This window comes from Homo sapiens, chromosome 10 (assembly GCF_000001405.40).
Source record: "Homo sapiens chromosome 10, GRCh38.p14 Primary Assembly".
In the NCBI taxonomy this organism is placed as follows: domain Eukaryota; kingdom Metazoa; phylum Chordata; class Mammalia; order Primates; family Hominidae; genus Homo; species Homo sapiens.
In genome coordinates, this window is record NC_000010.11 from 119,189,481 (window position 1) to 119,217,185 (window position 27,705).

At 46.6% G+C, this 27,705-nt stretch overlaps 1 protein-coding gene, 1 long non-coding RNA gene and 1 pseudogene across 3 annotated transcripts in view, besides 8 other annotated features; all 3 read left to right on the forward strand.

Annotated features, from left to right (window-relative positions):
• Positions 22-191: an enhancer, noted in NCBI's record as "experimental_10037 CRE fragment used in MPRA reporter constructs". NCBI's record gives its function as "activates a minimal promoter by MPRAs in K562 erythroleukemia cells, with activity observed for both the introgressed and non-introgressed 10:120949099 variant alleles {active_cell/tissue: K562}" and the evidence as "EXISTENCE:reporter gene assay evidence [ECO:0000049][PMID:34662402]".
• Positions 377-671: an enhancer, noted in NCBI's record as "tiled region #12134; K562 Activating DNase matched - State 5:Enh". NCBI's record gives its function as "activates a minimal TATA promoter and a strong SV40 promoter by Sharpr-MPRA in K562 cells {active_cell/tissue: K562}" and the evidence as "EXISTENCE:reporter gene assay evidence [ECO:0000049][PMID:27701403]".
• Positions 16,598-16,677: an enhancer, noted in NCBI's record as "active region_4105". NCBI's record gives its function as "activates an Ori minimal core promoter by ATAC-STARR-seq in GM12878 lymphoblastoid cells {active_cell/tissue: GM12878}" and the evidence as "EXISTENCE:reporter gene assay evidence [ECO:0000049][PMID:35858748]".
• Positions 16,788-16,837: an enhancer, noted in NCBI's record as "active region_4106". NCBI's record gives its function as "activates an Ori minimal core promoter by ATAC-STARR-seq in GM12878 lymphoblastoid cells {active_cell/tissue: GM12878}" and the evidence as "EXISTENCE:reporter gene assay evidence [ECO:0000049][PMID:35858748]".
• Positions 16,858-16,967: an enhancer, noted in NCBI's record as "active region_4107". NCBI's record gives its function as "activates an Ori minimal core promoter by ATAC-STARR-seq in GM12878 lymphoblastoid cells {active_cell/tissue: GM12878}" and the evidence as "EXISTENCE:reporter gene assay evidence [ECO:0000049][PMID:35858748]".
• Positions 17,308-18,137: a silencer, noted in NCBI's record as "silent region_2871". NCBI's record gives its function as "represses an Ori minimal core promoter by ATAC-STARR-seq in GM12878 lymphoblastoid cells {active_cell/tissue: GM12878}" and the evidence as "EXISTENCE:reporter gene assay evidence [ECO:0000049][PMID:35858748]".
• The window catches only part of GRK5 (G protein-coupled receptor kinase 5), a 252,175-nt gene continuing 242,560 nt past the window's right edge, over positions 18,091-27,705 (forward strand). The window contains exon 1 of the mRNA NM_005308.3: positions 18,091-18,489. Coding sequence (NP_005299.1) covers positions 18,438-18,489 — 52 coding nt within the window. The 5' untranslated portion in view covers positions 18,091-18,437. The remainder of the gene's footprint in view (positions 18,490-27,705) is intronic.
• Positions 18,210-23,224, forward strand: GRK5-IT1 (GRK5 intronic transcript 1). Of its 2 annotated transcripts, none has more exons than NR_186529.1 (2): positions 18,210-18,489; positions 22,001-23,224. It is a non-coding gene; the product is annotated as a GRK5 intronic transcript 1 (long non-coding RNA). The 2 variants fall into 2 exon arrangements; NR_186528.1 differs by lacking the exon at positions 18,210-18,489 and adding an exon at positions 18,941-19,170.
• Positions 18,348-18,417: a silencer, noted in NCBI's record as "silent region_2872". NCBI's record gives its function as "represses an Ori minimal core promoter by ATAC-STARR-seq in GM12878 lymphoblastoid cells {active_cell/tissue: GM12878}" and the evidence as "EXISTENCE:reporter gene assay evidence [ECO:0000049][PMID:35858748]".
• Positions 18,468-18,517: a silencer, noted in NCBI's record as "silent region_2873". NCBI's record gives its function as "represses an Ori minimal core promoter by ATAC-STARR-seq in GM12878 lymphoblastoid cells {active_cell/tissue: GM12878}" and the evidence as "EXISTENCE:reporter gene assay evidence [ECO:0000049][PMID:35858748]".
• Positions 23,377-23,666, forward strand: RN7SL749P (RNA, 7SL, cytoplasmic 749, pseudogene; annotated as a pseudogene).

Consider the following 27,705-nt stretch of genomic DNA (forward strand, 5'->3'; position numbering starts at 1 on the left):
CAAAAAAATTAGCCGGGTGTGGTGGTGGGCACCTGTAATTGCAGCTACTTGGGAGTCTGAGACAGGAGAATCACTTGAACCTGGGAGGCCCTGGTTGCAGTGAGCCGAGATCACACCATCACACTCCAGCCTGGGTGTCCAACAGCTTGGTCCGATTTTGAAAAAAGTTCTCTTTGTCAGATGGAGAAAGAGTTAACTTCCACTGTATTAACTTGTGCCTCACATTTTAAATATTTTCTGTTTAATGTATGGTTTAATTTTCATCTTAAAAATGCACTGCCTTATAGGTATCTTTTTTGCTTTTTCCGTCAATGTAAATCAAGCTAAGACATTTTGTAATTTTTATCTCCATAAATCTCAAGCATTCAACAGTCATTCTTCACATGGGCATTTCAGGCAAGCTCAACAAAGCATTACTGTTTGCTTCACACCAGGCAGAGAGGCCGCGCACAGCAGCACAATTCCCAGGGCTTTTGGCCATTGGAGATGAAGTTTCACTGCTTATCACTTCTTGACCAAACAGGAAGCTGAGGCAGTTGCCTGTGGTTAAATAGTTTACCTCAAGTCGTACAGGGATTCCTGGGTTGGGGGCTTTCCAGTGTACATGTAGGCCTTCTGGTCTGCTGATCTCTGCCAAAGAAATGAAATACCCTAGAATCTCTGACCCAGAGGCCCAGAAGGAATTTCATGCAAGAGCCTCCCAATGGCCTGTTAAGATCTGCAAAGTGTCCAGCTAGTCTCAGGCTGTGGCAACTGACTTCCCCTGGTAGGACTAGTAGAGTCCCCCTTTTGTTCATTCCAACAAAAGATAACCATGATTGATTTTTGATCACCAATATAAGCCTTAGGAGGAAGGAGCAGCTGTTTTGCCAAGCATTCCCTGACCACTTTCCTAGCTTGTCCTGGTTAGAGACCCCTACCAGGTTCCTAGAAAACACCATGCCCTTCTCATTCTCAGCGCTCCCAGCTCCTGTCACATGGCATTGGAATTTTCTATTGCCTTGTCTGGGTCTTAACAATACTGTGCACCTCTTGAGGATAGAGCTCATGTCTTACTCATCCCTGGAATCCCAAGGCTCAGCTAATCCCTGGCTTGCAGCAACTACCCAGAGCAAGTTTGTCAAGTGAGTCAATAAGCAGTGCTGGCAGGATTTCTACACACATTCTGAAAAAAAAACTATCTTTTGGCTGGGCGCGGTGGCTCACACCTGTAATCCCAGCACTTTAGCAGACTGAGATGGGTGGATCACTTGAGGTCAGGAGTTCGAGACCAGCCTGGCCAACATGGTGAAACTCTGTCTCCACAAAAAATACAAAAATTAGCCAAGTGTGGTGATACATGTCTGTAATCCCAGCTACTGGAGAGGCTGAGGCAGGAGAATCAATTGAACCCGGAAGGCGGAGGTTGCAGTGAGTCGAGATCACGTCACTCCATTCTAGCCTGGGCTACAGGGTGAGACTCCATTTCAGAAAAAAAGAAAAAAGAAAAAAAATTTATTCAGCTTTCTCTAGCTATTGCAACAATAACACACATTTTTCCCCGGAAAGAAAGAGACAACAACCACCACAACAAAAAAGATAACAAAAAAAAAGAAAGAAAAAGAAAGGAAGGAAGGAGAGAGAGAGTGAGAGAGAGAGAAAGAAGGAAGGAAGGAAGGAAAGAAAGAAAGAAAGAAAGAAAAAGAAGGAAAGGAAAGAGAAAGAGAAAGAAAAAGAAAGAAAGAAAGAAAAAAAGAAAGAAAGAAGGAAAGAAAGGGAAAGAGATGAACTGGCCTTATTCTCATGAGTAAAAGAGTAGAAAATGACTGAAATTCTCCCTTTTCAGTTTGGGAGGGAAAAAAATTGGACCTAGTTGAGGGGGAGGCAAATGAAAAGATATATGCTCATTTTTATGATGATTAGGAAAATACGCCCCTGGAACCACAAGTTAACTTTCTGGTAGCTGGGGCTGCAATTAGAGATGGCAAGCAGGACTCTGGGTTTTGCTGAGTTCTTCCTCTTTCCACAGCAAAAAACATACATTTTTTTTTCTTCCTTTTTTTCCCTCATTGAAGAGGAGCCCCAGATTTGGCTCTCTCCTGGGTTCAGAAAAGATGAAGTCTCGGAACCAAGCCCTGTCTCCCAGCCAAGTCCTCTTTTTTTCAATTTTTAATTTTTATTTTTTGAGTCTTATTCTGTCACACAGGCTGGAGTGCGGTGGTGCAATCATAGCTCACTGCAGCCTCAACCTCCCAGGCTTAAGTGATCCCCCTGCCTCAACCTCCTGAGCAGCTGAGACTACAGGTGCACAACACCATGCGTGGCTAATTTAAAATTTTTTTTTTAGAGATAAGATCTCTCTCTATTGCCCATGCTGGCCTCACACTCATGGGCTCAAGCAATCCTCCTGCCTCAGCCTCCCAAAGTGCTGGAATTACAGGTGTGAACCACCACACCCGGCCAAGGCTTCCCTTCTAAACTTACCCCCAGCATGCTCCAGCATGGTCTTGTGCTGTTCCAAGTTAATGTCAAAGGCAGGCAGCCCAGGATTGGAAGGAGTTGAGTTGTCCTTGATTCAAAGCCCCATGGATTCGTTCACCTTTCAGTCTGTCTCTGTATAAACCCTCACTCACAGGCTGATTGGGAAGTGTGTGCCACCCACTAGGCCTCGGGTGAATTTCTTAGGCTGAGTCATCCCCCTCTCTGCCCACCCCCAGGCACACCTTGGCTTGCTTACTTCTGAGCTGTTCTCCTCCTTGCAGCCCATTCCCTCCACCATTTTTTTTTTTTTTTTGAGACGGAGTTTCACTCTTGTTGCCCAAGCTGGAGTGCAATGGCACGATCTCGGCTCACTGCAACCTCTGCCTCCTGGGTTCAAGTGATTCTCCTGCCTCAGCCTCCCGAGTAGCTGGGATTACAGGTGTCTGCCACCGTGCCTGGCTAATTTTTTGTATTTTTAGTAGAAACAGGGTTTTACCATGTTAGCCAGATTGGTCTTGAACTCCTGACTTCAGGTGATCCGCCCGCCTCGACTTCCCAAAGTTCTGGGATTACAGGCGTGAGCCGCTGTGCCCGGCCTCCACCCTTTTAAAAAGACTTTATTTATTTATTTATTTTTTGAGACAGAGTCTCACTCTCTTGCCAGGCTGGAGTGCAGTGGCACGATCTTGGCTCACTGCAACCTCAGCCTTGTGGGTTCAAGCAATTCTTCTGCCTCAGCCTCCCAAGTAGCTGGGACTACAGGTCCATGCCACCATGCCCAGCTAATTTTTGTATTTTTAGTAGAGACGGAGTTTCATCATGTTGGCCAGACTGGTCTCAAACTCCTGACCTCAGGTGATCCACCTGCCTTGGCCTCTCAAAGTGCAGAGATTATAGGTGAGAGCCACTGCACCCTGCCAAACTTTATATTTTAGAACAGTGTTAGGTTCACAGCAAATTGAGCAAAGTACAGAGAGATCTCCCATAGCCCCTATTCTCAGCTTCTCCCACTATGAGCATCCCAAACTGCAATGGTAGATTTGTTACACTTGGTGACTCTACAATGATGTGCCATTATCTCTCAAAGTCCAAGTTTAAACTCAGGTTCACTCTTGGTGTTGTACATTCTATGGGTTTTGACAAATGTATAAGGACATGTATCCACCGTAATATTATCATATGGAATACCTTCACTGCCCTAAATATCCTCTGTACTTTGCCCATTTATCCCTCTTTCTCCTCCAACTTCTGGCAGCCTGTCATCTTTTAGAGCTGTGTCTCCAGCCCAGGCCTGTCCTCTGAGTGCCGCCTGCCAACATCTCCACGCAGATGCCTCTTATGCACCTCAAGCTCTTGCTTTCTTCAAATCTGTTCCCCGCCACTGACTTCCCCAAACCTCCTCAGGTCAGTACATGGCCTCACAGTCCATACAATCATTCAAGCCAGAAAGTAGGAGTCATCTTGATTCTGATGGGGTTCAGAACACCATATCCCAAAATATAGCACCATGGCATTTGGAAAACAGCGAAAGCAGGAAGGTCACTTTCTGACCTCCTCCTGCCCTTCTCCCCTGAAGCAGACCATGAAAGAATCATCTGACCTTCCTCTGAAGAAGGCCCTCATTCCAGGGGTGCCCAGCCTGTACCCAGAGGAGAGGAATGTCCTTATGTCTGGAGACACAGGGATACAGAGAGGAATATGAACAAACAGGCCTTGCTAAGTTCCCTCAGTTTATTGCCATTAGATCACATCCCCTTTGTCCAGTCATACTGCTGCATGACTGTCCACTCCATCAAAACTAAGCATGAAAAGACACGGGGTTCCCTGTTCCTTTGGGTCTTCACCTGTGGATGCTTCCATGCTGCGTACAATATATTCAATAAATGTGTATGCTTTTCTCTTGTTACTCCGTCTGTGGTTATAGAGGGTCTCAGAATTTAGAGAATCTAGAGATGGATGAGAAAAAAATGTCTTTCATCCCCTACAGTTCCCACCTTTCCCTCCCCACTGCTGGCCAGCAGCACCCAAAGGAGACGCTGTCTTGTCTCCACCTACATTTGCCTCCACCTCAGTCCAGGCCACCATCGTTTTTCTCATGCAACTCGTTCACAGCTTCTGAAGGTCTCCTGGCTATCAAGAGGCAAGATTACTTCCATCATGTGAGGTCTATTATATTATATTATTATTATTTGTTGAGATAGGTCCTCACTCTGTCACCCAGGCTGAAGTGCAATGGCACAATCATGGCTCACTGCAGCCTCAAACTCCTGGGCTCAAAGGATCCTCCGGCCTCAGCCTCCCGAGTAGCTAGGACTACAGGTGTGCACCACCACACCCAGCTAATTAAAAAAATATTTTTTTGTAGAGACAGGGGTTTCACTCTGTTGCCTAGGCTGGTCTTGAACTCCTGACATCAAACGATCCTCCTGCCTTAGCCTCCCATCGTTCTGGGATTATAGGCGTGAGCCACCATATGGCAGAGGTCTATTTTAAAAGTGAAACAACAACCACACAGAGTATAGCTTTCACATCTCTCTGGTATCCTCAGACCCTGCCACTTCTTTGGGCTCCAGAGATTTCCAGCTGCCAGGATTTGCATCTTTGTGTGGGGGTCTTTCTGCATAATTGCAGAAACCTGGTCTACCCACCCCTGAGGAAAGACAGGGGTGCTTGGGAATTTATACCGCTGCCTGCAGCCCTCAGCAATGGCTGGGTGGAGGGAATTCGTGTAGAAATACCCCAGCTCCCTCACCTCTTGAATGGACTATCTGGGGCATTTACCTCCCAGGGTCTTCCCACAGATCCAGTCCTAGTCACCATGAAGGTAACTTAACACACCCTTCGCTGGCTGCCTTCCCTGTGTTAGATCCCCTCCCTTATCTCCATTCCCAAATAAGCTACTTGCATTTGAATCCTTATCTCCAGGTTTAGGGACACCCACACTAAGACAGAGCACAACAAAAACTGTAATACGAAATGCTCCCCACAGGCTGATTATAGGACTTAGGTGGAAATATTTATTCAGGCCAGGAGCACTCACCATGAGAACCAGACTAACAGGTGTGGGATGGTCTTTTTCAGTCTCATCAGTCTCTCTCTGTAACGGTATGTGGAACTTTATCTGGGAACATTGCAAAAGTCCAAGCATGAGGACTGCCCCTGTCTGACAGCTTCCCTTTCCCCCCGCCTGCTTTTAACTGGCCTCTCGCTCTCACTCTTGCCTCCTTTCAGTCCATTCTCTGCCCAGCATCAACAGTGATGCTTCTTAAAACACCAACCACTGTTTCATCTCGTACTTAAAGCTCTTCCGTGGCTTTCCATCTCATTAGAGGAAAACACAAATTTGTACAAGGCTCTATGTGGCTTGTGCCCCTGCAGGTCTGCATGCCTGCCTCCTTTCAGACATCTCCTTTTGGGCTCCTCTGGACCCCATCCCTGTGTTAGCCATACTGGTCTACTTCCACCTCCCCAAAAGCTACCCCTCACCTGGGCACATGCGGTCCTCTTGATTGACGTGCTGTTACCCTCCACACATACCTGACTAGCTCTTCTTGATTATTTAGTTCCTGGCTTTGATGGCATCCTCCCCAAGAAGACTTCCCCAATGACTGTGAATGTCTCTGTCTTGGCCCTTGTTTCCTTTTACTGGAAACTTAAAATTGCAATTACTTTATCTATTTACTGGGTATTGGTTGGGTTCCTCCCTAGAACAGAAGCCTGACAGGGCAAGGATCATGCCCATCTTGCTCACTGCTATATCTCCAGCACTTAGCACAGTGCTTGGCACATGGCAGACTCCTAGAAAATTCAGATGAATCTGGTGGAAGGCCCAGCTAAACTCTCACTGTGCAGCCACTTCTGACACCCCCAGCTGACACATCCTTTCCCTGAATGCCTGTGGCAATTATCATCAACATCATTCTTTTGGTGGTTAATCCTCTGTGTTTTATCACAAAACTACTGTTGCCTTGAACTATATATATATATAAATTTTTTTTTGAGATGGAGTCTTGCTCTGTTGCCCAGGCTGGGGTACAATGGCACGATTTCAGCTCGCTGCAAACTCTGCCTCCCAGGTTCAAGTGATTCTCCTGCCTCAGCCTCCCGAGTAGCTGGGATTACAGGCATGCACTACCACACCCGGCTAATTTTGTATTTTTAATAGAGATGGGGTTTTGCCATGTTTGTCAGGCTGGTCTTGAACTCCTGACCTCAGGTGATCTGCCCACCTCGGCCTCCCAAAGTGCTGGGATTAGAGGTGTGAGGCACCGTGCCTGGCCGAACTATTTTTAAATCATGGTTTGTTTCTTCAAAATCTTTGATGCCTATCCTAGTTTGCAGATTAAATAACTAATTCACTTTTTTTGTTTTTTGAGACAGAGTTTCGCTTTTATCACCAAGGCTGGAGTGCAGTGGCACAACCTTGGCTCACTGCAACCTCTGCCTCCTGGGTTCAAGCAATTCTCCTGCCTCAGCCTCCCGAGTAGCTCGGATTACAGGCACCCACCACCATGCCCGGCTAATTTTTTTGTATTTTTAGTAGAGACAGGTTTTGCCATGTTGGCCAGGCTGATCATGAACTCCTGACCTGAGGTGATTGCGGCCGCCCAAAGTGCTGGGATTACAGGTGTGAGCCACTGCGCCCAGCCCTAATTTGCTTTTTAAAGCCCCACAATATTTGACAGTGTATTTTTTAAGAACAAGTATATTCTCTTATATGATAATACTATTACAATGCTCAAAACCAGGAATTTTAACATTGATATACTGTTATCTAATACACAGTCCATATTCAAATTTAATCAAATGTCCCAACAATATCCTTCATAGTAGCCACTCACCTCCCTACCATGATCTAATGCAGTATCACACATGGCATATTTAGTGGTCTTTTCTCTAGTTTTTTTTTTTTTTTTTTGAGACAAGGTCCTGCTCTCTCACCCAGGCTGGAGTGCAGTGGTGCAATCACAGCTCTCTGCAGCCTTCACCTCTGGGGCTCAAGCAATCCTCCTACCTCAGCCTCTTACGTAGCTGGGACTACAGGCACGTGCCACCATGCCTAGCTAATTTTTGTATTTTTGGAGAGATGGGGTTTCAACACGTTGCCCAGCTGGTTCTCAATCTCTTGGGTTCAAGTGATCTGCCTGCCTTGGCCTCCCAAAGTGCTGAGACTACAGGTGTGAGCCACTGGGCCTGGCCTCTTTAGTTTCTTTTAATCTGGAACAGTTCCTCAGTCATTCTTTATGTTTCTTGACCTTGACATTTTTGAGGAACAGAGTCTGGCTCTTTTGTGGAACATCTCCTATTTGGTTGGTCTGATATTTCCTCCGATTAGATTCGGGTTAAACATTTTTGGCAGGAATACCACTGAAGTGTTGTTTCATAATTTACTTAACCAATCTGTTATTCTTGGAAATTTGTGTTGTTTCAACTTTTTCTTCATTTTATAATCAATAATGTAATCTGTATACATCCTTGTAGCCAAATCTTTGTACACGTTCTTATCTAATTTTTTAGGGTGTTTTTCTAGAATTGGAACTGCTATGACTAAGGGCTAGGTGTTTTTGTTGTTGTTGTTGTTTGTTAGTTTGTTTGAGACGGAGTCTCGCTCTGTTGCCCAGGCTGGAGTGCAGTGGTGCTATCTTGGCTCACTGCAACCTCTGCCTCCCAGGTTCAAGCGATTCTCCTGCCTCAGCCTCCTGAGCAGCTGGGACTACAGGCATGTGCCACCACACCTGGCTAATTTTTGTATTTTTAGCAGAGACAGGGTTTCACCATATCGGTCAGGCTGGTCTTGAACTCCTGACCTCGTGATCTGCCCACCTTGGCCTCCCAAAGTGCTGGGATTACAGGCGTGAGCCACCATGCCCGGGCCCTAGGTGCGTTTTTATGATTTTTGTTATGTATTGCCAAACTACCTTCAAGAAAGGCTGTGCCAGTTTATACTCCCTCCACAGTGAGTGAAGGTAGCAATTTCTAGGAGATTTTTGCCAACACTGGATCCAAACAGTTTAAAATACCCTTCTTACAGCAGTCTGTACTTCTCATGTTGATCTGTCTTCTATTCTGGCTTCTTGTGTGTGTAACTTGTTGGCCCTAAACACCTACAAGCTGTTTAAAAAAGGGCTTGCATGTCTGACTCATCTTTGTGGTGCCCAACTATGCTTCCTACTTAATAGTCACTCAATAAATGTCAAAGGAAGGAAGTCACACATGTTTGAACAATGCGACCTTATTTTGTCAGGTTCTGTTTCGACATGCTGGGATACTGTCCTAGTTCCGGCTACTGTAACAAGTTCCATAGACTGGGTGGCTTACAAACAACAGAAATTTCTTTCACGCAGTTCTAGAGGCTGGAGGTTTGAGATCAGGGAGCCAGCATGATGAGGTTCTGATGAGGGCCCTCTTCTGGGTTGCCCGCTGCTGACTTCTTGTTGTATCTTCACATGGTGGGGAGAGGGTGGAAGAGCTCTCTGAAGTCCCTTTTATAAGAGCACTAGTCCCATTCATGAAGGCTCTACATTCATGACTTAATTCCCTCTCAAAGGTCCCACCTCCTAATACCATCACATTAGGGATTAGAATTTCAATCTGAATTTTGGGGGAACATATTCAGTTCATTGCAGCTACCAAAAAAGTTACTAATGTTGGTATCCAAAAGTCCAACAACCAGCGCCCCCTACTTGCCCGGACTAGCAAGATTCATTCTCGGGACCTCTCGGGAACCCCAAAGAAAACTTTCCGTTTTGTTCATATGGATCCTGGGCAGGCTCTTCACCTTAGGTATCCAGCTCACTGCAGACACCTGCTTCTCCGGTCCCCTCCAGCCCTAGCTCCAGGGGCTTCTCTGGGCTGCTGCTGCTCTCCTTGTACTTACCTCTGGGTCCCGGGAGGATCACATGCCTTTCTCTCAATTCTCCAATCCCAGCTAGGACAGGCAGTCCTTTTAAACTGAAGCCTTAGAAATAACAGACAGAAATTAAAATTACAATGCCGATAAGGCAAACATAAAGCAGGATGTGAGGTAAAAATTCTATCACCTTTTTAGCCCCATACGGACCTCCTTAGGGACTGTTTTTCTCCTTTGAAATACTCCTTCCTCCCTCCTGTGATGCAGGATCTGCTAACTTGGGAGGACACCATGTAGAGCACCCTTGATCTTGCCTCTTTTTCCCCATCCTGGCCCTTCTAGGGTATTAAGAGATGGAGCCTTGAGAGTGACTGGGTCATGAGAATGGAGTCCTCCTGAATAGGATTAGCGCCTCGATAAAAGAGGCCTGAGGGAGCTCTTTTGCTTCTTCTGTGACGTTAGGACGTAGCAACAAGGCACCATCCATGAAGCAGGGAGCTCTCACCAGACACCATATCTGCTGGTGCCCTGATCTTGCATTTTCCAGCCTCCAGAACTACGAGCAATCCATTTCTATTGTTTGTAAGTTACCCAGTCTAAGATGCTTTGTTGTAGCAGCCCTAAAGGACTGGGACACACATTAACCAGTGTCTCCCCAGGCTGACCTGCCTCCCACCTCCCCCAAACAGAGGTCCCATTCAGCCTGGACTGGAGGGGTCTGATTGGTATCCTGGAGCATACGAAGGTTGCGGAGCTTGCAGCTTGCTTTCGCCATTTGGCTGCAGCTCTCCAGAGTTCATGCTAGGTGGCATCCTCTCTCCATGGAGGAGACTAGGACAGCTGCTTGGAGTGAGTGCTCCAACTGTATCTAACTGCTCCTGCACAAGCTCATTTCTATAGCACATCAACTCACAGCTTTGCTCTAAGATGCCACTACAGGAGGACTTGAGCTGCTCCAAACCAACTGGGCAAATTAGATATTATATTCTATTTTATGTAATTGTAAAAAAAGATCATTCTGTGCAATGCATTACATTTAGCATATAACTGGCTAGCTGAGATTTCAATGAAGGAGAAAATATATCCTCCTTTTATCGGGGCCATGAAATATACACATGCATATAATGGCCTATCTTAGGTCAGTAAACGCTTTATTCCGAGGCTTCAAAAATAATTGGACTCAGAGTTTTTGGAGCAAGAGAAAGTTTATGTGGCTGGGCGCAGTGGCTCACGTTTGTAATCCCCGCACTTTGGGAGGCCGAGGTGGGTGGATCACCTAAGTTCAGGAGTTCGAGACCAGCCTGGCTAACATGATGTAACCCCATCTCTACTAAAAATACAAAAAATTAGCCAGGTGTGGTGGAGGGCGCCTGTAATCCCAGCTACTCAGGAGGCTGAGGCAGGAGAATCGCTTGAACCTGGGAGGCGAAGGTTGCAGTGAGCCGAGATCGTGCCACTGTACTCCAGCCTGGGTGACAAGAGTGAGACTCCATCTCAAAAAAAAAAAAAATACATAAATAAAAGAAAGTTTATGCTATCGCAGCAGGAGGGTTGAAACCCTGTGAGCCCACTTCACCTATGAGTCATCTGGTTATAAGGGCTCCTAATGTTGCATTTAATTCAGCCTGCCTCCTCCTCCTCTTAAGAAGGAGTTCTACCATTGATAAGATCGTATCTATATGTCCAATATAGGCTACCATGCAAAACAATTGACTAGCTTTAGGCATGTCATCACCTGATAGATGCTGGTCATAAAGAGACCACAAGTGATGGTCTGGATTCTTTCCTTACCTATATTAACAGGAAATCATTGGCTTTTAAGTAAATTACTGGAAAAGGGGCCGGGCACAGTGGCTCATGCCTGTAATCCCAGCACTTTGGGAGGCCGAGGTGTGCGGATCACCTGAGGTCGGGAGTTCAATACTAGCCTGTCCAACATGGTGAAATCCCATCTCTACTAAAAATACAAAAAATTAGCTGGGCGTGGTGGCAGGCGCCTGTAATCCCAGCTACTCAGGAGGCTGAGGCAGGAGAATCACTTGAACCTGGGAGACAGTGAACCAAGATGGCGCCATTGCACTTTAGTCTGGGCAACAAGAGCAAAACTCCATCTCAAAAAATATATATAAAAATAAGTAAAAATTACTGGAGAAGAGGTTATTTTTCCTTCACCTACTCTGAAAGTACAGAATTAATTTTTATATTTTTACTGTGTAATTTCCTTGCCTATTTGAACATTTTTCCTCCATCTAAATCTATTGATTGTTTCATCACTGAACCAAACAAAAAAGTGCCCAACTTTCTGTGTGCCATTTTTGGGTTAAACATCTCATGTTTTACTCAGTCTGAAAATGGAATCGAAGTTGGTTTGCCTAGTTTCCTTTAAAATTCTGGGACCAATTTAACTACTGGGTTGATTATAGGAGATGCCAGGTTCGAGGTCAGAGGTACCATCAGAGAGCTGGAAGTTCCAGGGACTGACAGTCTGCCCTTGACTTTCTGTAACACGTTGACCTCTGACAGGAGACCAATCTCCCCTAATTTTTTCCCTTTTAAAATCTGACCTGGCAGAGATGTGGGAATTTTGATAGTTACCTAATATAGCAAAACTTAGCAGCCAGGAGGCCCAGGTGGGGCTGAGTCATGCCATATGGGGTATAAGTCAATAAATATGGCCAAATGCTCCCTGTGTCAGGCATGTACTAGGTTCAATAGAGAAGAGAATCAAAAGATGAAAAAAGACACATTTTAGGCCTTTGAGTAGGGAAAGCAGACACCTAAATAGCCTCACCATCCACTTAATCAGTTGGCCTTGGGCAGCAGACCTCCTAATTCTCTGAGGCTCAGTTGCCTCTGTATACAATGGAGGCAACAATGTCTTTCGAAAGTACCTGCCTTGGAGGATTGGATGAGGTTCTGGGTATAGTAATGGGATGGGTACTGGAGAAAGGTGCACGGACTGAAAAGCTGTCTCATTAAACTTTGTAACACATCTACTGTGGGAACCCTCCTGACTGAACATGGCACCAGGGAAGGAGGACTTTCCTTTTCATTAAAGAAGACTGTGTTAAATTGCTGTAGTGATGGGAGTTTGGCAACCACATGTGGCTGAGACAATCAGCAGGTGTGTGCATTTCAGCAAGAATCTTCTTTTCTGAACTTGCAGTTGAGAATTGATGCAAGACAAATGATCCCACAAAATCTTGTGACCAAGCTAGGTGGTTAGATGTGTATAGGTAATAATCACCTGGCAAAACCAATCGATTCATTAAGATTGGCCAGTTCATCTGGAAACCAAAGGCTGCAAAGACACCACGTGTTGCTTGGAGATTGGTTTTCTCAAGCATGACACTTCTACTACTCCTCACATTTCACAAATATTATTGGTTAGGATGAATTAAAGTTTTCAAAGTGAGCTGACTTTAAAGAAAAATATTGGCCGGGCATGGTGGCTCACACCTGTAATCCCAGCATTTTGGGAGGCCGAGGTGGGTGGATCACTTGAGGTCAGGAGTTCAAGACCAGCCTGGTCAACATAGTGAAACCCCACCTCTACTAAAAATACAAAAATTAGCCAGGTGTGGTGGTGCGCACCTGTAATCCCAGCTACTCGGGAGGCTGAGGCAGGAGAATCGCTTGAACCCAGGAGGCAAAGTTTGCAGTGAGCCGAGATCATGCCACTGCACTGTAGCCTGGGCAACGGAGCGAGACTCCATCTCAAAAAAAAAAAAAAAAAAGAAAAATATGAAGTCACTAGAAGAGCAATAGGCAGTTTACAACATGTTAAAACTTTTTCTTTTTTTTTTTGAAACAGAGTCTCGCTCTGTCGCCCAGGCTGGAGCACAGCGGCACCATCTCGGCTCACTGCAACTTCTGCCTCACGGGTTCAAGTGATTCTCGTGCCTCAGCCTTCTGAGTAGCTGGGACTACAGGCGCACGCTGCCATACCTGGTTAGTTTTTGTATTTTTAGAAGAGACGGGTCTCACCATGTTGGCCAGGCTGTTCTCGACCTCCTGACCTCAGGTAATCTGCCCACCTTGGCCTCCCAAAGTGCTGGGATTACAGACGTGAACCACTGTGCCCTGCCCATAGTAAAACTTTTAATGTCCAATTGATAACCACTGAGGTCCATTGATGAAGGGAATTCAGAGGGGAGGAAATGTTAACTGGAAACCTCAAGCCTCCAGATTTGCTTTCAGCTCACATTTCTCCTCTTTTGGTGCCTGAAATCACTTCTTCCCGTTTGCAAAGTCCTTTGTGTGTGTCTCCACAATGGCCCTTATTCCATTGTATGGAGGTTGTTTGCATCCGGTGTGTTTTCCTTCCCAGTGGCGAGCTCCCTGGGAAATTGCCTTGAACTCCCTGCAGGGCTGGACACAGAAAGGTAAACTCTGAAGGAGAAGAGGATAAATGAGAGAATGGAAGCTCTATCTGCAGCTGCTTCCTGAGGATTAAAAAGCTTTGAGTCAAGGAAAGGAATGGAAACTCCAGTTCCTGGACTATTCAGAAAGCCAATTTGATTATTCAGGCAAAAGGAATCTATATTTTAGAAGGCCGATAGGTTTGTGGCTTTCCAGCATAGTAGACTTCTATTTACAAGAACTCTGACCCAGCAGCTTTATTCATGGCAGATACAGGTGCTGAGAGAAGAATTTGAAGGTTCCCTGTTTCTTTTGCTTTTTTATTTTTTAGAGACAGTCTTACTCTGTTACCCAAGCTGGAGTGCAGTGGGGCGATCATAGCTCAGTGCCACCATACCTGGCTAATTTTTAGGTTTATTTCGTAGAGACAGGGTCTCGCTATGTTGCCTAGGTTGGTCTCGAACTCCTGGGCTCAAGCGATCTCCACCCCCCCATCCCCTGCACCCTTGCTTTAGCCTCTAAAAGTGCTGGGATTGTAGGCATGAGCCACTGCATCTGACTTCTTTTGCATTTTTGGCTCAGCTGCTCCTGAGTGGAGTCTGAAGCTGGCTGTCTTTGACATATTCCCATCCCTCCATCCTCACCCCCACTCCTCCATTTGGATTTCCCTTCTTGCTCTCAGCTGGCTGTCAATGATTCCCTACTTAGCTATTTATATTTAATAGCCTACTCTTCCTTGAATCAAACCCATTTTTCAAGAAGACCACGAGTTGTTAGTGCAGTTAATTGAAAGGAATAAAGCCATAATGGTGGAATTATAGATGAAAATGGAAAACCCCTTGAAATCTTAATGATTTAGTCAACTGGGTGCTTTGCCTTCTTATAATACAAGTTCATCCCGGCAGCCACACAGAACAGTTACTACCAAGCTGTGCTGGCTAGCTTGCGCAAGCCAGAAATTAAGTGCACCAACTCTGAGTCAGGCTGACAGGTTCAAATCCCGGGTCTTCTACTTATTACTTATGTGACCCTGGACAAATTATAAAACCTTTCTTTTTTTTTGAGGAAAAAAAAAAAGTCTCACTCTGTTGCCCAGGCTGGAGTGCAATGGCATGATCTTGGCTCACTGCAACCTCTGGCTCCCGGGTTCAAGTCATTCTCCTACCTCAGCCTCCCGAGTAGCTGGGATTACAAGGCACCTGCCACTACACCCAGCTAATTTTTGTATTTTTAGTAGAGACGGGGTTTTACCATGTTAGGCTGGTCTCGAACTCCTGACCTCAGGTGATCTGCCTGCCTTGGCCTCCCAAAGTGTTGGGATTACAGGCGTGAGCCACCGTGCCCGGCCTATAAAACCTTTCTTAACCTGGTGCTTTATCTATAAAATAGGCCTGTGTTCCCTACCTCATCTGGATATTGTGTTCAAGGAGATAATCCATTTAAAAGACCACAAGAGCCTGGCCCACAGTTGGTGTTGAGTAAATGCTAGCCATTATTGTTCCATTCTTGCATTGGAGTGTCTGAATTTCCTCATAGAGGCACAAAAACCTGATGTACAACCATGTATTTGTGTAGGCAGGATGCAACAGCTTGTAGTGGACAAAAAAATAGTCTAACACTAACTTGCTGAGTGACCATGCCAACTCACTTACTTTGGGTCTGTTTCACATCTGTAAAATGAGAGGGAGAGGCAGGGGTTCCCAGGATGGAAAACTTAAATGTCTATACAGGCCAGATAAATAAAATCACTAGTGACTTGGGCTGGGTATAAGACAATAGGGAGTTACGGTAAACTAGAAAGCTTTTCAACTCTGAGTGTGGTCTACTGACCACGAGGATCGACAGAGCCCTGGAGTTTGTTAGAAAGAGCAACATCTCAGAAACCACCCCAGATCTATCCAAATGCAATCTGCATTTTAACAAGATCCCCCGTGATTTGTATGCTCATGAAACTTTGAGCCAGGCATGGTGGCTTATGCCTGTAATTCCAGCACTTTGGGAGGCAGAGGCGGGTTGGATCACTTGAGTCCAGGAGTTCAAGACCAGCCTGGCCATTATGGCGAAACCCCGTCTCTACTCAAAATACAAAAATTAGCCAGTCATGGTGGCACACACCTGTAATCCCAGCTACTTGGGAGGCTGAAGTACAAGAATCATTTGAACCTGGGAGGCCGAGGTTGCAGTGAGCCGAGATTGGGCCACTGCACTCCAGCCTGGGTGACAGAGTAACTGTCTCAAAACAAAACAAAACAAAAAAACAAACAAAAACAACCTTTGAGAAAATTGTTTTTTTTTTTTTTTTTTTTTTTTGGTTCGGAGTCTCGCTCTGTCGCCCAGGCTGGAGTGCAGTGGCGCGATCTCGGCTCATTGCAACCTCCGTCTCCCGGGTTCACGCCATTCTCCTGCCTCAGCCTCCTGAATAGCTGGGACTACAGGAGCCCAACACCACGCCCGGCTATTTTTTTTTTGTATTTTTAGTAGAGACAGGGTTTCACTGTTAGCCAGGATGGTCTCGATCTCCTGACCTCGTGATCCTCCCGCCTCGGCCTCCCAAAGTGCTGGGATTACAGGCGTAAGCCACCGCGCCCGGCCCAAGAAAATTGTTAAGGTGCATAAGCCATCTAAAGGCATTCAAAAATTTTCTTTCTTTTTTTTTTTATGTTAGCCGAATAAACAAACTTCGGGCTTCATCAGGCCCTATGCTGCCAGCAAGTGACCAGCGTGGTTGGTGGAGGGCTCTAGGAGCTGCCAGCTTTAGGGGTCTCGCTGTCTGAGAGAGATCCTTTCATTAAAGGTTAGGGCTCTAGGCACGTGAATATGTAGCAAAGACCAAGCCTGGATTGCTTAGAACAGTAATTCCTGGAGTGGTAAGTGCCTGAAAAGTTACCCGCTGAGCCCTCCGCCTTCTGACAGGTAAACTGTTGTTGCCCCCATTTTGCAGACAAGATAAATGAGGCCCTGGGAGACTCACTGACCCAAGTCTAGACACCAGGAAGTGGTGGTGGTGGGTATACTCCCCCAGGAAAGCAGGTAATCTTGGGTTGTTACAATCAGTGACCAGACCAGTTTCCAAGGCCTGGAAGGTTTATTGATTTCTTTATATTCTCCAATGCATAATAACTGTTCTCTGTTTCTCTCGGCACCTCCCTGCGACTTCCTGGCAGCCCTGGGGACAGAGGGTTTCCTCCTTCTGGACAGAGAAGGCCCAGAGTCGGCTTCTGAACGGATATCCGGCCCGCAGGATGCAGAGGAGGCAAAGGCCTCATTGTTCTTTGGGGCCTGCCTGCCCCGCCCCCAGCTGTAGGACACTCGTGGCAGATCCCGGGTGACCGAAGACAGCCCATTTCCAGGAGTGGGGCCTTCGGAGCGGAGGGAGCAAGGAAACGGGGCTGAGCACAGACCTGGAGTCTGATGTTCTGAGCATAACACTGGAAGGAGCTAAGAGCCCCAAAATAAATAAGACCGGAATTTAAAAACGTTAATCCCACGCCGGCTTGGCGCTGGCCTGGCTGTTACTCATTAACGCTCCCCACGGCGGAGACTCCGGCGACTCCGTCTGCGTTTTTATTACTTAATCTGGCTGGGTTTGGCTGCAGGGAGGCTCGTGGATTTGCTGGCCGGGTGTGCTGGAAGGCAGTTTATTCACAGAATAAGCAGCTTCCCACGCTGGACCCTGAGCCCCAGGCGCCGTCCGCGTAGACCCCGCGCCGCGCACCGCGGCCGGCGGGGGGCGCTCGGGTCGCACCGAGAGCAGCGCGGGCAGCCAGCGCCGGGTCGCAGCCGACCCGCAGAGCCCTTCGCGCCCTCCGAGGAAACAAAGTGCATCTTTGTCCGCGGCCCGAGGCGCCGCGTGGGAGACGCTGGGCAGGGGCCAGGCCGGGCCGGCCGCCGCCGCGTGCGGGGACCCTGGGCGCGCGTCACTGACCCGGGACTCAGACCCTCGCGGGCCTGGCGCGGACCGGAGGAAGCGGGCTGTGGCGCGCGGCCGAGCTGGCAGCCCTCCCACTCCGAGCACGGCTCGGGACCCGCACTGGCTCCTGCCGGGCCGCGGCGCTTCACGCGCCGTCACCGGGGCCCGTGCACTCCGCTTTCCGGGCTGGCGACGGGGCGGGAAGGGGGCAAGCGGGAGCCTGCGGGGGGGTGCTGGGGACTTCGGCTTGGCTGGGCCGCCTTTGAGTCGCCTGTCGGCCGGGCGGTGCCCGCCTTCGCTTTCGGTGCCGTCCCGGGGCGGGTCCTCGCTCCGACAGCCGCGCGCCAGCCCAGCTCAGCCCCGGCGCCGCGCGGCCGGGAGGACTCCAGCTCCCAGCAGGCCCCGCGCCGCGAGCACCGAGGCAGGAGGCGCGCCTGGGCCGGCGCTTGCGCAGTGCGGCCGCCCGAGCCTGCTAGTACCACACCCCCGGGAGGGACTGAGGGGAGGCAGAAGCATCCGAGGCATTAAAGCATCCGAGGGAGCCGGAGGGGAGGAGAATGGAGTGACAGAGACACGCGGAGGGTGGGGGGTGGGGGGGAGCGTGTTGAGGGAGGGGGGAGGGGGGACACAGAGGGAGGAAGAAGCGGCGGCGGCGGCGGCGGCGGCGGCGGCTCCTCTTTGCAGAGGGGGAAACTCTTGGGCTGAGAGCAGGAATAATGCGGTAGGCAAGGCGGGCTGCTGGCTCCCCCGGCTCCGGCAGCAGCGGCGGCAGCCCGAGCAGCGGCAGCAGCAGCGGCAGCACCCCAGGCGCTGACAGCCCCGCCGGCCGGCTCCGTTGCTGACCGCCGACTGTCAATGGAGCTGGAAAACATCGTGGCCAACACGGTCTTGCTGAAAGCCAGGGAAGGTAAGAGGCAGGGCCGGTACGTGCCCGGCGCGTCCGCCGCGGGCCAGGGTGCGGGTGTCGGGTGGCGTGCGGGCTGGGGCTGCGCCCGTGCAGGATGCCCGCTGCCGGCGAGTGGGTCGCGAGCAGGACACTTCGGAGAGCGGCTCTGCAGACCCTTCAGGGTTCCTGCCTTGGGGCTCAGAGAATCTGGACTTGGGCTGAGAAGGTTGCAGGGATTTGGATGCTAACATATCTCCTAGTTTCCAGCGCTCGCCCTGCAGAGCGTGCCATCTCGGCAGCTGTTGAAAGGTCAGTTGGAAAAGCATTCATTCGGGGAGCGACGAGCAAACATGCACATAAAATAGCGTTTCAAGTCGGCCCGGGATGGTTCTGTGTGAACTGGTGTGTGTGTTCGAGGGGCGGGGGTGGAATGAGCAGAAGCCAAGTCTTTGCCTGCGCAGGCTGAGTTGATATAGACTATTGCTGGAAACCATCCGCTGGGATGTTTCTTAGGGAAATCCCGTCGTGTGGAAGGAAGCCTTTTAAAGGCAAAGTCAGATGTTGAGGAATTAGCCTTTTCATAGAATTATCAAAGGATGGCTGTACAGACCACCTAGAAAATAATTCAGTATTTCAGGTTTTTCTTTTCTGGGAGTGTGATAACTGAAATTGTTAGATTTTGGCTCAGTTAAGAAAAGAAAGGTAAGTGTGCTGGTGCTTTAGATACGTTTTCTATGCAAATCATTAGATTTCCTGCATTTAGCTGGCAGGAAATATTGTCTAAATGGAGTGTGTAAGATCCTGAGTCAAACCCTAAGAACGCATATTTTGACTCTTCCTTTTGATGAAAAACAGAAAAAAGGGGGGGGAGGCAGAAACTTGGGTGCTTCCTGAAATGATTGTGTTGTGTCCATGTAAACATATGTATTTAGGAATACCTGGAATTTATGTCGCATATTTTCCTTTTTTTTTTCTGGTCAAGATTTGAGCTCTAGTGTGCGACCTTTTTCATAAAAGGGGAAGAGGTTTTTCCCTTTCACGGGAGAACGCTTTATTTGATACAAGGTAGAAGGCAGACTGAGTAAGGGCTTGAGTTTAGAAGGATACTCGGTGAGCAGCCCATGAAAATGTCTTACCTGCTTAATATTTTCATTCACCTACTTTGATGAATGAAGGGAAGAATTTCTGGCCAGCAATAAAACGATTCGTGTTTATTCAGCCCGTTCCATCACCTTGTGGCTCCCTACACACTGTGGGGGTAGGTGATGCATAGCCTTCCGTGGGCAGCGTTTCAGCAACTCAACCCGGCATTCGTGTCTTACTTTCGTCGTCACTTGTCACTCTAAAGCAGCCAGTGGGCAAGAAGGTTTATTTCAGAAGCCCCGAAGGGAGGCAGTGCTTTGAAAACCCCAGCAGAGTTTAAAATATTCAGGTTAGTCTCCCTCCCATTGCTTAGCTTTGGTGGGAATAAATTTTTAGGAGAGGCTTGTTACTTGGTGACTTCAGGTTCTAAGGCCTGAGCTGTGTGTGTGTGTGTGGTTTTTTTTTTTTTTTTTTTTTTTTTTTCCTAACCTGACATTTTTAGTGGACAGGATCTAGGTGGGTGCTGGTAGGCTCTCCTCTGGGTTGGGGAATGGTCCTGAAAGGGAGGAAGCAGAGAAAACAGCCCTCCACCTCCCCCGCCCCTCTTTCAGCCTTTGCAGCTGGCCACCTAGTGGTGGGACACGGTTGTGTATCTCAGGATTCGGGGGCTGGGAAAGTTTTCACTCTCGCTCCATTCTGAAATTATTTCTTGGGAAATCACTGGGTCTGATGGTACTGGAGCCTTGCAAGTTTCGCTGGTTCCTCCTGTTGCCCAGGGAATCTGCCCCCGACATTTGCTGCTGTAGATATTTGTTTGCCTGATAGATGCTTTTTTTCTTCCCTGAGCATTTGGTTGCTTCTTTTATAATGCTTTGCTTAGAGTGGGCAAAGTGATATCAATTCCACCCGCCCCCTCCAAATTGTTCTCCCCAGTATTTTTTCACCAACGTGAATTTACTGTCTGATATTGTTGTTCGTTAGGCCAACAAATTGGGTTTTTTTCCCAGAGCCTTGGAGAAGAGAGCTGCAGGCTGGAAGCTTGTGTGGAGTGACCGACTCCCATTGGGGCAGAATTACAGTGATTGAAAGTGCTCAAGAATGTGCCTTTCACTTTTTTTTTTCCTTTTAAAGGCTTTTTCAATTTTGCTGTGAGAGTTTGGTCGTCATCTCATGGTGAGAAAATAGCTCTTGATGATGCCTTGGAAATGGAGAGGGCCTGCGGAAGCAGGGAGAGACTGACACGTGAACAAGAAAAATTAATCATTTAATGGAAACCTCATTTACAATTTGCATCTCTCCCCTTCTTTCTCTCTTATGCCTAGAGGAAAGCCATGATTTTAAGTGCTTCCAGTTTCTTTTGGCTGGGCCTTTATTAGAGACTTGAGCCCATATATCCTAATTAGTGTGGACACTTTTAGAAATTAAAGCAATTTATGTTTCTCTTCTCAGTTCTCATATATTTGAATTTATTTTACTAAACTTAGTAGTTCTCCAAATAACCATATTATCTAAATATTCAGAAATGAAATCTTCAGTCAGTTTAGTGAAATATCTAATATAAAACAGTATATTAAAAAAATCTGAGTTGTTTAAAAGGTTTAAAAACACTTCTTAAAGATTCTTGTCAGTGGTTACAGATGAGAAATATAATTGGCAAATGTGAAATTTAATTTAGTTCACTTAACAAAATACACCGTAAGCAATTTAAAATTTGGCTTTCAAGTAAAAGTCACATTTGTCCCAAACAATAGAGAAACAGACCTTGAAGAAAGACAGGCACACTTTGAAAATGCTGTAAAATAATTTGTAGTTGTCCATGTTGGTGGGTAACACTGGGACCTATCTTTTCTTTTTGTTTTGCATTAAAGACAGATGGCTCCTAAATTCACTGTATCTTCAAAGTCTTACCGTAATAAGACATAATATAAAGTGGAAAGCATTAATGTAGCAATAAAATAGAAAGCCTGTAAGTGGATTAGAGTAAAATGATGGATTGTTAGTAATTAGAAAATATAGCAAGCAAGCTTCATGAACACTTGTGATAATTATTTTAAAATAAGAAAAGGTAGAGGTATGGGTTCAAGATTTTGAACCACGGAAATGTATTTTGGGGCCTGTTTATTTGTCCTGGGTCTCATGAGAAAACATCAACTCGATCACTCTTAGGAACTTTAGATTGCTCTCCTAAAAAGTGCTTAAGGAAAAAAAGAAAGAAGTTGAGACTGAATTCATGGCAATTTATGGGAATGAGCTAAGTGATTAAGCATTTCATGAAAAAGAGGCCCAGACTAACTCTATCTATTTATTTACATTTCAGAATCTCAGAAAATTGGCAGGCGACCTAATGTTGAAATAATAATGAGAAGGAGAGTTTGCTGAGTGCCTTTTGTGTGTTTCTTTTTGGTTTTATTGTTGCAGTAAAGGTTTTTGTGTTTTTCTCATCTTCTAGATCTGTTGCCTTTCTTCTGAGTGAACAGTGGTGAGAAAAAATTTTGCAAGGCCCCGCTTTTCCTTTCTTCACAGGCCAGCAGTAGCCATATCTGATCAAAAAAGATACCTGAAGGAATATTGATCACATTTTCCTGAGGCCCTAGCAAGCACAGGAATTGAGAAGTTAGGACTGGAACAACTTTGTCATTTGTCACAATTGCCAAACATTAGAATACACAGGAACCGTTTTTTCAGGTAACTCTGTGACTTGGCTGGATCTTCCTGATCATCAAGATTAGCACCTCGGGGCCTGGAAGAGGTTAGGGAGGGCAGGAAGAAGGAGTGAGCCAGCATCCAGCTCTGCGTGGGGCAGGCTATGGCGTGGACAGACTTAACATTCCACAGCACGGCTGAAAGCCCTGGACCTCTTTCCCTTGCACCCCTAATTCATGGTGATAAAACCAAAACATGGTGAATTAGGTTATTAGAACGTTGGAACATCTCTGAAGCTCAAAGCCCTCTTATGGCTATGTGAAGGCATACGTGGAGGCATACGTACTCCACCCTGAAGCTTCTCCTTCAATTTTAATGTTAATCTTACCAAGCGACAGCTTTCATCCTGGTTAAGGCAGCTCGGTGTGTGTAAAAGCAGCCTGGCCTGTTAAACACAATGCCGTTAAATCAAACTGCCTTTCTTTTTTTTTTTTTAAAGTTTCCTTTTCAGTACTGACAACTTGGAGGTAGAGAAACCAAAAGCAATGTTTTCAGAAGGCCTTTTGCTTTCTTAAAGATTTCAAACGATGATTGTAGTTAATCTGGCTGCCTGTTTGAAAAACCATCAGATAAATGCCCACAAGGCTCTCATCTTTCAGTAGCTTAGCTGCTGCTTGTCAGATTCTAAACTCCAAAGTGCTTGACTCTTCCAGTGCCCAAACTAATCCTTGTTTAAATTATGTCTTCAGAAGCTATAACTCTTATAGTGGCTTGCTAAATGATACCCTTTGGATCTGGGCTGAAGACTTCCAGAATGCCCAAGTGAATTTCAGGAGCGGGCTCAATGTTTAACCAAATTCACCTTTACCAAGGGCTATTCAATCCATATCTGGGATGTTTTAAATAAAACTATCCAGGACTGTGGGCAATATTCAAAGTTAATATTTGTTGCCAATATGTTTGGAGTGCAAGATAAAGCATTATAATGTCTAGACATTTTTGAAATAAAAAAGTCTTCTGGTTACCAAAAGGCATTATTGTCATAGGTCATGCAACTCAGAGGTGAAACTTGAGAAAACAGAAAGTGACTACCAACAGGTGACACATTGAGAAGATAATTAGGAATTTCCTCAATCATACAGCCCTCAGCACCCATTTCTCACATCAAAATAGAATGGTGGAGCCGAGTGCGGTGGCACAGCCTGTGGTCCCAGCTACTCTGGAGGCTGAGGAAGATCATTTGAGCCCAGGAGTACTGGTCTGGAGCGAACTATGCCTATTGGGTATCTGCAGTAAGCTCGGCATCAATATGGTGACCTTTCGGGAGTGGGGACCACCAAGTTGCCCAAGGAGGGGTGAACTGGCTTGGTGGGAAACAGAACAGGTAAAAACTCCATGCTGATCAGCAGTGGGACTGCATCTGTGCATAGCCACTGCCCTCCAGCCTGGGCAACACACAAGACCCTGTCTCTAAAAATAAATAAATAAATGAATGGAATAGAAGAGAATATTGAAGACAAGGGGATGAAGGCATGATTTTAAATGACTAAAATGGTCTGGGCATGGTGGCTCATGTCTGTAATCCCAGCACTTTGGGAGGCCGAGGCAGGCGGATCACCTGAGGTCAGGAGATTGAGATCAGCCTGGCCAACATGGTGAAATCCTGTCTCTACTAAAAATACAAAAATCAGCGGGGTGTGGTGGTGCCCGCATGTAATCCCAGCTACTCGGAAAGCTGAGGCAGGAGAATCACTTGAACCTGGGAGGTGGAGATTGCAGTGAGCCAGTATTGCACCACCGTACTCCGGACTGGGTGACAGAGTAAGACTCTGTTTCAAAAAAGAAAAATAAAAAATTAAAATGTATTATGGCCTTAAATAATAGGGTTGATTTCCACTTTAAAACATATCCTGTTATATTTCAGTGAAAATTTTTATTTAAAAATATTCTAAATATTGAAAAGATGTATTTTGGGGGGGCAGAGATAATGTCATTCCTTTTATTACCATCCAAAAACTGGAAGAAGCATTTCATTTTGTGAAAACTGTGCTGCTTTTAAAAGAGAAAGTCCTTACTTCCTGACTGGACCCTTCCCCCACCCCTGCTTCTCATTTTGAGGAAACCATTCTTGAATAGGCTTCTGAAAATCTTACAAGAGTAAAATTTATTTGTTCAGCATTTGGTTGTTGAAGGACCCAGTGCGGAGGTGACATTCGGGTGTCAGCCTCAGATAATACAATGTGAAATGACTGAAAAGATGCAATTGGGCACTGCCGTTCTCTTTTTACATGTTTTTTTGTTTGTTTTTTGTTTTGTTTTGAGACAGAGTCTGCTCTGTCGCGCAGGCTAGACTGCAGTGGCGCAGTCTGGGCTCACTGCAACCTCTGCCTCCCAGGTTCAAGCGATTCTCCTGCCTCAGCCTCCTGAGTAGCTGGGATTACAGGCGCCCACCATCAAGCCTGGCTAATTTTTGTATTTTTAGTAGAGGCGGGGTTTCGCCATGTTGGCCAGGCTGGTCTCAAACTCCTGGCCTCAGGTGATCTGCCTGCCTTGGCCTCTCAAAGTGCTGGGATTACAGGCATGAGCCACTGCACTCAGTCTCTTTTGATGTTTTTTAACTGATCAACTAGGTGTGAACAGAACTGGATTTTTTTCCCCGAAGAGCTGAGGCTGACTGGGGTGTGACCTCCTTAGCTGTGTAGACTGCATTGACTCTACTGTGCCTAGAATTTGGACAATGGCCTGAGGGACCAGTATGTGATTTAAGCATAATTAAAAGGTTATACTTGAGGGATAGACCTGAATCTGGAAGACAACTGCTAATTTTCTGGGGCACTGAGGGGTTTTTGTTTTGTTTTGTTTTTTGAGACAGGGTCTTGCTGTCACCCAGTCTGTAGTGCAGTGGTGCCATCTCAGCTCACTGCAACTTCGACCTCCTGGGCTCAAGTGATCCTCCCACCTCAGCCTCCTGAGTAGCTGGGACTATAGGCTCGTGCCAACATGCCTGGCTAATTTTTGTATTTTTTGTAGAGATGGGGTTTCGCCCTGTTGCCCAGGTTGGTCTCTAAACTCCTGGGCTCAAGCAATCCATCCACCTTGGCCTCCCAAAATGTTGGGACTACAGGTGTGAGCCACCACGCCCGGCCAACACTGTTTTTATGAAGGTCTGTTCCTAGAAATGGAAACCATTAAAAACAATGGCAAGAAGACCCTTTGGTTGAGGAATGACAAGATCCAAGAGGAAAACTGGTGTGCCATGGCGCCTTCCAGGCAGAGCAGGTGTTCAGGGCAGAGGCCTGGGCGGGTAGACGGGCTGCAGTTCTGGAGTGAAGACGGTGGAGGCTGCATTCTTTTCTGGCTTTCTGTTGGGATTGGCCTGGGTATGTCCTTTGACATAGCCTGTCACAGGGAATGACCGAAAAGATTAAAGGTACCTGTTCCTCTTCAGGGGCTCTGTTCAACGTAGTAGCCACTAGCTGTATGTTGTTATTTATACTTAAATTAATTAAAGTTAGGAATTATGTTCCTGAAGCATGCAAACCACATGTCTAGTGCTCAGTAGCCATGTGTGGCTAGTGGCCATTGTATTGGGCCATGCATATAGAACATTCCCATCATTGCAGAAAGCTCATCGGGACAGAGCTTCTCTAGAGGATTCTGTGCATTTAGTGAGTGTGATAACCCCATGACTTCTGACATGAAAAATTAGGGAAAATTAAAAGAAGCAGAGGGAGGCAGGGAGTTGGGGAGAGAGACAGTGTGGAGGAGGGGGAGAAGGAGAGATGAGAGGGGGAAATGGGTAGGAGAAGGAGAAAATAGGGAAGGGGGTGCGGAGAGTGAGGAAGAGACTGAGGAAGGGGAGGGGGCTGCACCATGGAGGAGGGGTGAAGGCAGGGGTTGGGAGTTGGGACTGACTCACCTAAGAGGAAATTCAGGTCAGGGACAATCATGGATGGTGGCGGGGGTGGAGGGGGTTAAGCTACCATATCCTCCCCCACCCCCTTTTTCAATATCTTGTTGGGAAATTTGCCTAAATTGAGCAACTGACTTTCCTGATTCAAATTAAGTGCATGATATAGATACATACAGAGCCCCATGTTCCTTCTTGAAATTCTTAATGTGGGGCTATTTTAAAGCAGTCATTTTATTTAAAAAAACAATTAAGTTGCATAAGTGCGGCAGATCTACAGAAAGAATAGAAAGAAACCTCCACAGGCAGGTGATCTAAAATGGGGGTGAAGACAGGCAAAACCATTTTAAGGGTTTTCATTTTTTCTGAGCTGGGAAGACATCAGGAAGAAGGTATACTTAAAGATGCCAAAGAAACTCACTGTTCTTGTATCCACTTGAAAATGGTTTTCTCCTTAAAAACTGTTTCTTGTGAGATTTGAAACATTTTAACAATAACTCAGAGCACACTTAGAAAGAAAGTGTTTGAAACAATAAAACAGTTCATTGCTTGTTCCCTGGTGTCCGAAGCAAGGGAGTCTATCTGACGTACCAGAGTCAACTGGTGACATCCTCCTAAACTAGGCCAGTTTTGATAGGGCCTACTGTGTTTCTAAGAACTTGTAATCTGTGGAATATCAAAAATTTTTTTAAAAAGGTAATGATGAAATGAACCCCAAGGACAGCTTCTGGGGCCTGTGCAGAAAGCAAGGGTAAACAGATAAGCTGAGATAAACAGATAAGAACATGCCTCTGTCCTGAAGTGGCAGAGGCCACAGGGCCACTGGTGCCTCGGCTTCCCTGAGCCTTCTCAGCTGATCTGCTGCCCTGTCCTCTGTTTCCGGCATAGAGGTTACCCTTGGTTTAACGGATGGGGAAACTGAGATGAAAGAAAGGGAGTCAGGGCCGGGTGCAGTGGCTCACGCCTGTAATCCCAGCATTTTGGGAGGCTGAGGCAGGAGGATTGCTTGAGGCCAGGAGTTCAAGACCAGCGTGGGCAGCATAGCAAGACCCCTATCTCTACAAAAAATAAAAAATAAATAAAAATGGCCAGGCGTGGTGGCTCACGCCTGTAATCCCAGCACTTTGGGAGGCCAAGGTGTGTGGATCACTTGCGGTCAGGAGTTCAAGATCAGCCTGACCACCGTGGTGAAAACCCATCTCTACTAAAAATACAAAATTACCTGGATGTGGTGGTGGGTGCCTATAATAATCCCAGCTACTTGGGAGACTGAGGCAGGAGAATTGTTTGAACCTGGGAGTGCCACTGCACTCCAGCCTGGGTAACAGCGAAACTCCGTCTAAAAGGTAAAATAATAATTTAAAAAAAAACATAAAAATAAAAAAAGGGAGTCACTTGTTCAAGGTCACTTGAACTGTGGACTTTTGGGGAGCAATTGCAAGTGGATCTCCCCTATCCTCCAAAGTGCTTTTATGTTCCAAAATAAATCTTTCTTCCTTCCTCTCATAATATATGCCAAAACAACAAACTCTTCTCGAGATGGTAGGGTTTTTAAGTGTAAATACCCATGAGGTTGTAATTGTGGAAGAGAAAGAGTGTCT